Source organism: Homo sapiens, chromosome 6, assembly GCF_000001405.40.
Source record: "Homo sapiens chromosome 6, GRCh38.p14 Primary Assembly".
NCBI lineage: Eukaryota > Metazoa > Chordata > Mammalia > Primates > Hominidae > Homo > Homo sapiens.
The window spans coordinates 71,017,928-71,031,524 of NC_000006.12; the positions used below are offsets into that span (position 1 = coordinate 71,017,928).

The window sequence follows — 13,597 nt, forward strand, 5'->3', positions numbered from 1 at the left end:
CACTAATATTTCCCCCTAAACATAGCTTAAAATATTAATACTATAGGTTTGATTTATATCAACATTTATACCTTTAATTATAAATTTTCCCAGAGGTTTGCAATGTTAACTCAATAATGGAAAACTTGTCATAAAAGCAGAACAGTGTCATGGGTTAAGAGAATAGATTATTGGAGCAGACTGCCTGGTTTTGAAGATTAGCCCTGCCACTTGCTAGCAGTGTAGCCCTTAGCTGGTTATATAACCTCTCTGTGTCTCAATTTTCTCATGAGGGCATACTAATAACAAGTAGCTACCTTATAAGATGACTAAATAAATTATGATACCAAACCACTTAGCATATATTAGAAATTAATTGATCATATAAGCATGGGTCTATTTCTAAATTTTGATTCCATTTTATTGGTATGTTTGGACTATTTCATGCTATCTGGATTGTGCCTATTTTTGGACTAATATCATGCTATCTGGATTATGGTATCTTTATATGAAGTCTTGAATTCAAATCAGGTAACACAAGTTATCCAATGTTCCTTTTAAATGTTGTTTTAGCTATCCTTTACTGGTGAAAATTTCTGGGCCTGAAAATTACTTTGTGGGGAGGTTTTAAATTTTAAATTCAATTTATTTAACAAATATAGGCCATTCATTAAAAAAATTCTCATGTAATAAATTTTGGTAATTTTTTAGCACAAAGTTATTTATAATAGCTCCTTATCCTTTAAAAATATGTTGTTTCTGTCTCTTCAAACTATTCCAGAAAAGTGAAGAGGAGGGAATACTTTCAAACTTATTTTACAAAGCCAGAATTACCTTGATTCCAAAACCAGACAAGACAACAATAAAAGAGAGTTACAGGCCAATATCCTTGATTAACATAGATACAAAAATTCTCAACAAGATACTAGCAAACCGAATTCAATAGCACATGGAGAAGATCATTCAGTATGATCAGGTGAGATTCATCCCAGTGATACAAGAATGGTTTAACATACACAAAATCAATACATATGATACACCACATTAGTAGAAAGACAAAAACCATGGTCATCTCAATAAATGCTTTAAAAGCATTTGACAAAATTAGACATCTGTTCATGATAAAAACTCTCAACAAACTAGGTATAGAAGGTATGTATTTCAACATAATAAAGGTCATATATGACAAACTCACAGCTAACATCATACTAAATGGAGAAAAGTTGAAAGATTTTCCTTCAAGATCTGGAGCAAGACAAGAACACCCACTTTTACTACTTTTATTCAATATAGTACTGGAAATCCTAGCCAGAGCAATTGGACAAGAGAAAGAAGTTAGAAGGAAGTAAAAGTATCCCTATTTGCAGACAACATGATCTTATACAGAGAAAACCCTAAAAGACTTCATCAAAAAGCTGTTAGAATTAATAAATGAATTCAGTAAAGTTGCAAGATATAGAATCAACATACAAAAATCAGTAGCATTTCTATGTGCCAGTTTTGAACTACCTAAAAAAGAAATCAAGATAATGATCTCATTTACAGCAGCTACAAAATAGGTACCTAGGAATAAACTTAACCAGGGAAGTGAAAGAGTTCTATGTTGAAAACTATAAAACACCGATGAAAGAAACTGAAGAGAAAACAAATAAATGGAAAGATATCCCACGTACATGGACCGGAAGAATTAATATTGTTAAAATGGTCATATTACTGAAAGTGATCTACAGATTAATGCAATCACTATCAAAATACCAATGAAATTCTTCACAGAAATAGAAAAAGTGATCCTAAAATTTATATAGAATCACAAAAGACCCCAAATAGCCTAAGCTGTCCTGAGCAAAAAGAACAAAGCTGGAGGAATCACAGTAACCTGACTTCAAAATATACCACAGAGCTATAGTAACCAAACCAACATACTGGCATAAAATCAGACATATAGACCAATGAAACAGAATACAGAGCCCAGAAACAAATTTATGCACCTACAGCCAGCTTGATCTTTGACAAAGATGCCAGAAGCACACACTGAGGAAAGGACAGTCTCTGCAATAAATGGTGCTGGGAAAATTGGATACTCACATGCAGAAGAATGAGACTAGACCTACCTTTCACCATATTAAAAAATCAATGCAAAATGAATTATAGACTTCACATAAAACCCCAAATTCATGAAACTACTAGAAGAAAACAGAAAAAATGCTTCATGACATTGGGCTGGGCAAGGATTTTTAAAATAAGACTGAAAAAGCATTGGGTGCAGTGTACACTGCTAGGGTGTTGGGTGCACCAAAATCTCAGAAATCACACCTAAAGAACTTGTCCATGTAATCAAACACCACCTGTTCCCCAAAAACTATTGAAATAAAAAAAGCACAAGCAACAAAGCAAAAATGGACAAATAAGTTACACAAAACCAAAAAGCTTCTGCACAGTAAAGAAAACAATCAACAGACTGAAGGGACAACCTACAGAATGGGAGGAAATATTTGCAAACAATATATTTGACAAGGAGTTTATATCCAGAATATTTAAGGAATGCAACTCAATAAGGCAAAAATCTGATTAAAAATGGGCAAAAGACTTTGATAAACATTTCTCAATATAAGATATACAAATGGTTAATAGGTATATAAAAATATACTCAACATTACTAATCATCAGGGAAATACAAATCGAAGCCACAATAAGATACCACCTCACTCCAGTTAGAATGGCTACTATAAAAAGACAAAAAACATTTTGGCAAGGATGTGTATAAAAAGGAACGCACACTGTTGCCACCAACACTAGTATTGTAAACTAGTACAGACATTATGGAAACAGTATGTAGGTTCTTCAAAAAATTAAAAAGAGAACTACCATATGATCCACCAATCCCACTACTGGATATATATCCAAAGGAAATGAAATCAGTATGTTGAAGAGATGTCTGCACGCCAATGTTCATTGCAACACTATAATAGCTAAGATATGGAATCAATCTAAGTGTGCTTCAGTTAATGAATGCATAAAGAAAACATGAGATAAACGCGCACGCACGCACACACACACACACACACACACACACACACACACACACACTGGAAGAGTCTTCAGTGATAAAAAAGAATGAGATCCCATCATTTGCAACAACAGGATGAACCAGGGAAATGTCATGTTAAATGAGATAAACCAGACACAGAAAGTTAAATATTGCATGATCTTACTCATATGTGGAATCTGAAAAATAATGTTGATATCATAGAAGCAGAGAGTAGAACAGTGGTTACTAGAGACTGGGGAAGAGTAGGGAAAGGGGAGAATGGGAAGAGGTTGGGTAATAGGTATAAAATACAATTAAGAGGTATAAGTTCTTGTGTTCAATTGCACAGCAGGTGACTACAGTTAACTGTAAAGTATTGAATATTAAAAAATAGCTAGAAGAGAAGCTTTTGAATGTTTCCACTACAAATAAATGATAAATGCAGGGGGTGATAGATACACACTAATTACCCTGGTTGGATCATTATAAAACATATATATGTACTGAAACATCAAATTTTACCTCAAATATATGTACAATTACAATGAGTCAATTAAAAATATGTTGTTTCTGTAGGTAGGCCTCACCTTTCATTCTGGGTATTGGTAATTTGTATTTTCTTTCTTTTCTTCATTGGCCTTGCTAAACATTTATAAATTTTGTTAATCTTTCAAAAGAACTAAATTTTTGCTTTGTTAATTTTCTCTATTACTTGTCTATTTTCTATTTCTGTGTTTCAAATATAAGCAAATGAAGCTATAAATTTCCCTCTAAGCACTGCTTTAGCTGCATCCCACACAATTTTATATACGATTTTCATTTTTACCCAGTTCAAAATATTTTATAATTTATCTCATGATTTCTTTTATCTATGGTTGATTTCACAGTGTGTCATTTAATTTCTTGTTATTTTTCTTTCCATGGGCTCTTTTCCCCCTCTGGAAACCTTCCTATACCCCTCTGCCTATGGCACTTGCAGTTTCTTTTGCATTTATTTAAGCAGAGAAGGACTAGGCTGATGCTCTGATGGTAATTATTAAGGTGATTATTCATCTTAGGTGAAGTATTTTTGACTGAGAAGTTGCTGTGTGCTCAACGCTGTGATGTATTTAATCAATAGCTTCTGGGACTAGCCTCACAGCTGGAGATAGAAGGGATGTTTCTGCTATCTTTAGTGTAAAGTATTTCTAAAACTCTAGGGCTTCAGGCACTTGAGTCATGCTCTAGGAAAGGATTTCTGTGATCCAGATTGTTGAGATACTACTTTCCAACACTTTAAAAAAGTTATGATGATACATATTCTAATGTTCTTAATGTTTTGAGGGACTTAGGCTTTACCTTCCTGCCCGCAATGGGAAGAAATTCTGATATGCATTTAAGATGAAATGGAGTCCTTGAGGACCCACTGTGACTGGTTACACTAGAGAGGTGAGCTTCTGGAGGTAGTGCCAGGTTGTGTGCCCAGGGAAAGGGGCCATAGAATAAGTTGTTCAACCTGTCTATCATCTGGACCATTTGATAAAGTCCAGGAAACATTATTTAAGGGTGGGAACCTATGATGGTAAAGGTCTGGAGGACTCGTTTAGAGGATTCTCCAATAAATATCTCCAATCAATATTCCAGCAGGATAAAAGCAGAAGCTGGCTGAATAGGACTATGTGGGTTGTTTCCATCATCTTTCCCTCTAACATGACTAATATATAGCAACTTACCAAGCACTTGGAATAATCAGCTAATAACAGTAGCTAACATTTATTGAGCACTTTCTTTGAATCAGGCACTATACTCAATCTTTCGTGTCTTATTTAAATCACACTAAGCTTCTAAGCTAGATACTGCTATTACCAGCCCCTTCACACTTGAGGAGCTAAGTGAATTACCCCAGGTTACTTACAAGGACATTTTCTTCAGACATGTTTGCACCCAATACAGCTTATGAAAAACATGGAGACTTTCCTTTCCATCCCAGGCATCTGGTCACTTTCTATAATAGAGCCAACTTTGTTTTTGGGGCAACTGAAAGTCAAACATGTCTTGGAAAGTTCTCAATAGGATAGGCATCACAACGACTGAAATATTTTCTTCCATTTGTGTGGTCTCTGTTACATGGGAAAGCAAATGATGCAGAGAAACCCAAGACATTTTTGACAAGCTTCACATTGACAATGGGAGCAAGTAGCACTTCCAAATCCCATTTGTTTCTCCACTGAATACTAATCCCGGAGTTATCAGTTTGAATGTATTCCCTGAAGAATAACTCCAGACTTAAGAATTCATTCTTAATTCTTTAGGGGAAATTTCCATATCCCACATTAATAATCATAAGAATTCAGTAGCAATGTCACCAAGAACGCTCAGAAGACTACTCTATTCTCTCACATAGAGACAGTTTGATAATAAACTGATAAATAGAACCTTGAAAAGTCAAAATTTACAACATAATACCTGTCATTCAGACATATTTTCAATATGATGGCTCTAATAATGTCCCTCCTAAGCATTTATTACATTAGACCAAAAAAAACAAACAAACAAACAAACAAAAAAAACACTGAGAAGTGAGAACCAGCTATGCTCATCCAGATTTTCTCATTTAATAGTAAACTTCTGGATGCAGGGCTGGCTTTGTGGATGTGTAACCTGTGCAGTTGCACTGGGCCTGTGCTCAGGAGGGCCCTGCCCTTGCTTCAATGCCCAGCTGTCATCCTCATGAAATTGTTAACAATTTTATCTCTGAACTCGTATTTTTTTTTTTGAAATTATGTCTGATGGAACAACGAAGCATGTGAGTGAACAGAGATATGCACAATAAGCATGCCTACCATTCCTCAGTATCTGTTTTCATGTAGTGTTTGTGAGGCCCTGTGACTATAGGATTCTGGTAGACCCACAATACATGAGAATTTTTTGTTTTCTCAAAGGAATACAAGGTAAATGTGTTATGGATGTGGCTAAGTGGAAATGCCAACAGCCCCAAGAGGCCATGTTTTTCATTTAAACCAGAACTTTCTTAAAGTGCAAAAAGAAGACAATGACATTCTAAGACATACACGAATGGCCAAGAAACCCAATCATATCCTTTTTCATTCATGTCACTTCTCTGCATTAGCCAACCACTTACAGAAAAATTCATGGCATAAAGGAAGAGAAAGACAGGGCAACCCACAGTTCCTTTTCCTTTCAGTTCTTTATTCAGAACTGTGGGTAGAATGTATGTGGGAGAATGTGGGATGTTACTCTGCAAACTGTCCCTTTTGCCATGCAAAATTTCTTTAGTTTAATGAAGTCCCAGCTCTTTATCTTTGTTTTTATTGCATTGCTTTTGAGTTCTTGGTCATGAAATCCTTGCCCAGGCCAATGTCTAGAAGGGTTTTTCCAATGTTATCTTCTAGAAATTTTATAGTTTCGGTCTTAGATTTGAGTCCTTAATCCATCTTGGGTTGATTTTTATATAAGGTGGGAGATGAGGATCCAGTTTCATTCTCCTACATATGGACAGGCAATTATCCCAGCACCATTTGTTGAAAAGGGTGTCCTTTCCCCACTTTATGTTTTTGTTTGCTTTGTCGAAGATCAGTTGGCTGTAAGTATTTGGGTTTATTTCTGGGTTCTTTATTCTGTTCCATTGGTCTATGTGCCTATTTTTATACCAGAACCATGCTGTTTTGGCGACTATGGCCTTATAGTATAGTTTGAAATCAGGCAGTGCGATGCCTGCATATTTGTTCTTTTTGCTTAGTCTTGCTTTGACTATGCGGGCTCCTTTCTTGTTCCATATGAATTTTAGAATTGTTTTTTCTAATTCTGTGAAGAATGATGGTTGTATTTAATGGGGATTGCATTGAACTTATAGATTGCTTTTGGCAGTATGGTCATTTTCACAATATCGATTCTGCCCATCCATGAGCATGGAATGTGTTTGCATTTGTTTGTGTCATCTATGATTTCGTTCAGCAGTGTTTTGTAGTTTTCCTTGTAGAGGTCTTTTGCCTTATTGGTAAGGTATATTCCTAAGTATTTTTTTTTTTTTTGCAGCTATTGTAAAAGGGGTTGAGTTCTTGATTTGATTCTCCACTCGGTTGCTGTTGCTGTATAGGAGACCTACTGATTTGTGTACATCAATCTTATATCCAGAAATTTTGCTGAATTCTTTTATCAGTTCTAGGAGCTTTCTGGAGGAGTCTTTAGGGGTTTCAAGGTAAACAATCATATCGTCAGCAAACAGTGACAGTTTGAATTCCTCTTACTGATTTGGATGTCCTTTATTTCTGTCTCTTGTCTGATTGCTCTGGCTAGGACTTCCAGTACTATATTGAAGAAAAGTGGTGAGAGTGGGCAAGCTTGTCTTGTTCCAGTTCTCGGAAGGAATGTTTTCAATTTTTCCCCATTCAGTATTATGTTGGCTGTGGTTTTGTCATAGATGGCTTTTATTACATTGAGGTATGCCCCTTGTATGCTGATTTTTCTGAGAGTTTTAATTATAAAGTGGTGCTGGATTTTGTCAAGTGCTTTTTCTGCATCTATTGAGATGATTGTGCAATTTTTGTTTTTAATTCTGTCTATGTGGTGTATCACATTTATTGACGTGCGTATGTTAAACCATCCCTGCATCCCTGGTATAAAACCCACTTGATCATGGTGGATTATCTTTTTGATATGTTGTTCAATTTGGTTAGCTAGTATTTTGTTAAGGATTTTTGCATCTATCTTCATCAAGGATATCAGTCTGTAGTTTTCTTTTTTGGTTATGTCCTTTCCTGGTTTTGGTATTAGGGTGATAATTCACTCTTCATAGAGTGAATTAGGGAGGGTTCCCTCTTTCTTTATCTTGTGGAATAGTGTCAATAGGATTGGTACCAATTCTTCTTTGAATGTCTGGTAGAATTCTGCTGTGAACCCGTCTGGTCCCGGACATTTTTTTTTGTTGGTAATTGCTTGTTATTGGTCTGTTCAGGGTATCTAATTATTCCTGATTTACGCTTGGAGGGTAGTATTTTTCCAGGAATTTATCCATCTCTCCTAGGTTTTCAAGTTTATGCGTGTAAAGGTGTTCATAGTAGCCTTGAATGATCTTTTGTGTTTCAGTGGTGTCAGTTGTAATATCTCCCATTTCGTTTCTTATTGAAGTTATTTGGATTTTCTCTCTTCTCTTTTTGGTTACTCTTGCTAATGGGCTATCAATTTTATTTATCTTTTCAAAGAACCAGTTTTTTATTTAATTTATCTTTCATGTTTTTTTGGTTTCAATTTCATTTAGTTCTGCTATGATCTTTGTTATTTCCTTTCTTCTGCTGGGTTTGTATTTGGTTTGTTCTTTCTCTAGTTCCTTGAGGTATGACCTTAGAATATCAGTTTGTGCTATTTGAGTCTTTTTGATATAGGTGTTTAGGGCTACGAACTTTCCTTTCAGCACCGCCTTTGTTGTATCCCAGAGGTTTTGATATGTTGTGTCACTATAGTTCAGTTCAAATAATTTTTAATTTCCATTTTGATTTTGTTTTTGACCCAATGATCATTCAGAAGCAGTTTATTTAATTTCCATGTATTTGCATGGTTTGAAGGTTCCTTTTAGAGTCGATTTCCAGTTTTATTCCACTGTGGTCTGAGAGAGTGCTTGATATAATTTCAGTTTTCTTAAATTTATTGAGGCTCATTTTGTGGCCTATCATATGGTTTATCCTGGAGAAAGTTCCATGTGCTGTTGAATAGAATGTGTATTCTGCAGTTGTTGGATGGAATGTTCTGTGTATATCTGTTAAGCCCATTTGTTCCAAGGTATAGTTTAAATCCATTGTTTCTTTGTTTACGTTCTGTCTTGATGACCTGTCTAGTGCTGTCAGTGGAGTATTGAAGTCCCCCCCACTATTATGGTGTTGCTGTCTATCTCATTTCTTAGGTGTATTAGTAATTGTTTTTATAAATTTGGGAGCTCTAGTGTTAGGTGCATATATGTTTAGGATTGTGATATTTTCCTGTTGGACAAGGCCTTTTTCCATTATATAACGTCCCTCTTTGTCTCTTTTAACTGCTGTTGCTTTAAAGTTTATTTTGTCTGATATAAAAATAGCTACCCCTGCTAGCTTTTGGTGTCCATTTGCATGAAATGCCTTTTTCCAACCCTTTACTGTCAGTTTATGTGAGTCCTTATGTCTAGGTCTCTAGCAAGGCCAGGGAAGTGTTCCTCAATTATTCCTTCAAATATGTTTTCCAAACTATAACATTTCTCTTCTTCCCCAGGAACACTGATTATTCTTAGGTTTTGTTGTTTAACATAATCCCAGACTTCTTGGAGGCTTTGTTCATATTTTCTTATGCTGTTTTCTTTGTCTTTGTTGTATTGGGTTAATTCAAAAACCTTGTCTTTGAGCTCTGAGTTTCTTCCTTCTACTTGTTTTGTTCTATTGCTGAGACTTTCCAGAGCATTTTGCATTTCTATAAGTGTGTCCAAAGTTTCCTGAAGTTTTGACTGTTTTTCTTTATACTATCTCTTTCCTTGAATATTTCTCCCTTGACTTCTTGTATTATTTTGTGGATTTTGTTGCACTGGGCTTTGCCTTTCTCTGGTGCCTCCCTGATTAGCTTAATAACTAACCTCCTGAATTATTTTTCAGGTAAATCAGGGATTTCTTCTTGGGTTGGATTCATTGCTGGTGAGCTAGTGTGATTTTTTTGGGGGGTGTTAAAGAGCCTTGTTTTGTCATATTACCAGAGTTGGTTTTCTGGTTTCTTCTCATTTAGATAGGTTCTGTCAGAGGGAAAGTCTGGGGCTCAAGGCTGTTGTTAAGATTCTTTTGTCCAGTGGGGTGTTTCCTTGATGTAATACTGTCCCCCTTTTCCTAGCTTCCTGAGAGCCAAGCTGTAGCAATTATCTCTCTTCTAGGTCTAGCCACCCAGCAAGTCTACCAGGCTCTGGGCTGGTACCTGGGGTTGTTTGCACAAGTCCTGTGATGTGAACCGTCTGTTGGTCTCTCAGCCGTGGATACCAGCACCTGTTCCATTGGAGGTGGTAGGGGGATGAAATGGACTCTGTGAGGGTTCTTAGCTTTGGTGGTTTAATGCTCTATTTTTGTGCTGGTTGGCCTCCTGCCAGGAGATGGTGCTTTCCAGAGAGCATTAGCTTTCCAGAGAGCATTAGTACGGAGAGGAACCGGCAGTGGCCAGAGCCCTAGAACTCCCAAGAGTATATGCCCTTTGTCTTCAGCTACCAGGGTGGGTAGGGAAGGCCCATCAGGTGGGGGCAGGGCTAGGTGTGTCTGAGCCCAGACTCTCCTTGGGTGAGTCTTGCTGCAGCTGCTGTGAGGGATGGGGATGAGATTCCCAGATCAATGGAGTTGTGTACCTGGGAGGATTATGGCTGCCTTTGCTGAGTCATGCAGGCTGTCAGGAATGGGGGAAAGCCAGCAGTCACAGGCCTCACCCAGTGCCTATGCAAACCGAAGAGCTGATCTCACTCCCACCATGCCACCCGCCAACAGCCCGGGTCTGTTTCCAGGCAGTGAGAAAGCAGGGCTGAGAACTTGCCCCAGGTGACCTGCCTCCTAGCTGCAAAAGAAAAGGGCTTCAGTTCTTCCCCTGCCTGTGGAGTCTGCATGCCAGATTCATGCCCTTCCCCTGAGTTCTCGCAGGAGGCTTCTTGGCCAGTTCAAATTGTTACAAAGTTCAGCTGGAGACTTCCTTCTCCCTGTGACATTTTCCCTGCACCTCTGGCTGCCCTCCGGAAGGATCCCTGTGGTGCTATGCAGGAATGGCCTACTCAGAGATCCAGGAAACTCCCAGGGCCTTTCCCGCTGCTTCCTCTACCCCTTTATTTCACTCAGCTCTCTAACTTGACTCAGCATCAGGTAAAGTCGGAATCTTCTCCTGCAAAGTAGACCTTTGGTTTCCCCAGTTGGGGGTGGGTGTTCTGGGCAGAGGAACTCCCTTTCCCACTTCTGCAGTTTGGGCACTCACAGTATTTAGGGTGTCTTCTGGGTCCTGCAGGAGCAGTCCGCTTCCTTCAAAGGGTCTGTGGGTCCTCTCTGGATTCCTGATTTATTCCTGCAGTTGTTCTGGAGCTAAAATTCATGATGCAAGCCTCCGCATGCTGCTCTGTCCATCGGAGTCAGAGCTGCAATCTAGTTCTGCCTCCTGTCTGCCATGATGATCCCTTGCAGTTGATTTCTTAACAGTGGTTTAATACCAGGAAAGAGTGCTGCATTCTTCTGTGTAGAGAATTGTACCATTCCCGAATAATGACAGAATTGTTTCTTCCTTTACAATTCTAATATCTCTAGTAAATGTTGAATAAAAATGGTGATAGTGGGCATCCTTATCTTGCTCTCAATCATAAAAAGAATGTTTTCAACTTTCTAGGATAAAGCATATTTGCTATTTTTTGTATATACTCTTAATGGATTAAGGTAGTTCTCTTTCATTCCCAGTTTACCAAGAGAGGTATGTGTTTAATCTTCAATTTTTATCTTTCTGAGAAATAAATTACCACATTTCCACCTTTTCCATTTTCCCTCCTTTGCCCCCATTTCCTTTTTGTTGATGATATGTTTGTGTTTGCCTTTACATATAATACATTTATACCTTTATTTATTGATTTAATGTCTTTAATTGCTGTTTTAATCCCCAGTTATAAAAGATAAGGAATTCAGTGCACTACATTATCTGTCACCATTAATTTCTTCTTTCTTCCTAAATTTTATTTGTTATATTATGGCAATTTTGTCTACATTTAGAGCATTTTAACTCTATCCTTTAGCCACAATCCCTACATTTAGTTTTACTCCTACAGTTAGATTTAGGGCTCACTGCCAGCCTGTCCTTTGTAGTTTTGTCATCATCTTTTGTTTAGCTGAAATGTGTTCTTCCAGTAATTTCTTCAAGAGCTGCTCATGGCAGCTATATTCCCTGAGGGTTTTTTTTCTGTTTGTACTTGAACAACAATTTGTTGGGTATAAATTCTTAGATCATATGTTCTTTACTAGTAACTATTTAGGCTTTTGGAATGTTGTAATATTTTCCAGGGTCTCAGACCAAAATATTTTTTTTTTCATTAATAGATGAATTGACTGTTTGCTTCGAGGTCCAAGTAATTCTTTCATTATTTTTGAAGTTTAATAACATTAGCACGATGTGCCACAGTGTTGATGCTTTTGTGTCACTTTTTTTTCTTGCAACATGATATGTACTTTCAAATGTAGGTTCAAGCAGATCTTTTATTATTGAAAAGTGTTCTTGAATTATATCATTAAATATTTCTCTTATTCTAAAATTTGAGTTTTTAATTCTTTTGTGGTTGAGACAAAAAAGGACTCTGTTAGATCTTTTAAAAACTTCTATCTCTATTATTTTATTGTAATTCTTTTATACTATTTATTTCCATTTCATTTGCTTATTTTTCTCAATTCTGTCCTCTATGTACCCCTTAGGTGGTTTCAGCAATGTCTATTATCTTTTGGACTGGTTTTGTTGTGGCCTTCACTTTGGTAATGATTTTGTTTTTCTCTTGCTTCTTGAACGCTGCTGCTCCCATTGTCTTCCCATGTTTCATCTGAGTTCTTGCATCTCTGCTCTGAGCCCTCATTTTATAGTGACAGTTGTTTCTTAATACATTTTTGAATTCATGCCAATATATTTGCTCACAATTTTCATCAGTCTTATGGAATAAAATATAATTCCATAAGAATTATAATTAATTCTATAATATAAGGAGAATCATGGTTCTGTGTTTCAGGATTCTCCTCATATTATAGGGTCATAGGTATGTGTGAATTACTTTGGTCTCAATTTCTCTCTACTTAGTTGATACTGGCAGCTGCATGGTTTCTGATGTGGTGTGTCTTCTCCATCCTGTCTCCTGACCAATGACTATCTACATTTATAGCTTATCCAGTATGATTCTGTATTCATCCCCATCTTCTCTAATTTTCCTTTGTGCTAAGTAGGGTCTAGGTTAGCTCCTACCACTCTCTCATATAAACCCTTCTGTTATTCCATACAAAGGATTGTTGACTTTGCCCTCAGAGAGTGCCACTTACTTTAGAGAACTGTGCTCCGTTCAGTATCTTCTAGCACCCATCTTGAGCTTTACCACATGTGACTTCTTTTCCTTTAATACTAAAGTTTGGGGTTATATACACCTCTTAGTTTCATTAAAGATAGAGTTTACATTTATGTCTCTCATTCTCCTTAATTACTTTTCTTTTCTTTTTGAGACAGAGTCTGGCTCTGTCACTCAAGCTGGAGTGCAGTGGTGTGATCTCGGCTCACTGCAACCTCCGCCTTTCGGGGTCAAGTGATTCTTGTGCCTCACCCTCCTGAGTAGCTGTGATTACAGGTGTGCACCGCCATGTCTGGCTAATTTTTGTATTTTTAGTAGAGACGAGGTTTTGCCATGTTGGCCAGGCTGGTCTTGAACTCCTGACTTCAAGTGATCCACCCGCCTTGGCGTCCCAAAGTGCTGGGATTACAGGCATGAGCCACTGTGCCTGGCCTCCTTATTGCTTTTCAATGATATTTGAGAGAAGGGAAAACTGCCACCTCTACTTGGCTATTTAAAAACTTTCCTAGGTGCCTCTTGCTTTGTCACTGGGATGGTCT

General features: G+C 37.3%; 1 annotated feature.

The window, feature by feature from the left end:
- Positions 9,768-10,967: an enhancer, noted in NCBI's record as "MED14-independent group 3 enhancer chr6:71737398-71738597 (GRCh37/hg19 assembly coordinates)". NCBI's record gives its function as "activates an origin of replication core promoter dependent on BRD2, BRD4, P300/CBP and CDK7 cofactors, and independent of MED14, by STARR-seq in HCT116 cells {active_cell/tissue: HCT116}" and the evidence as "EXISTENCE:reporter gene assay evidence [ECO:0000049][PMID:35650434]".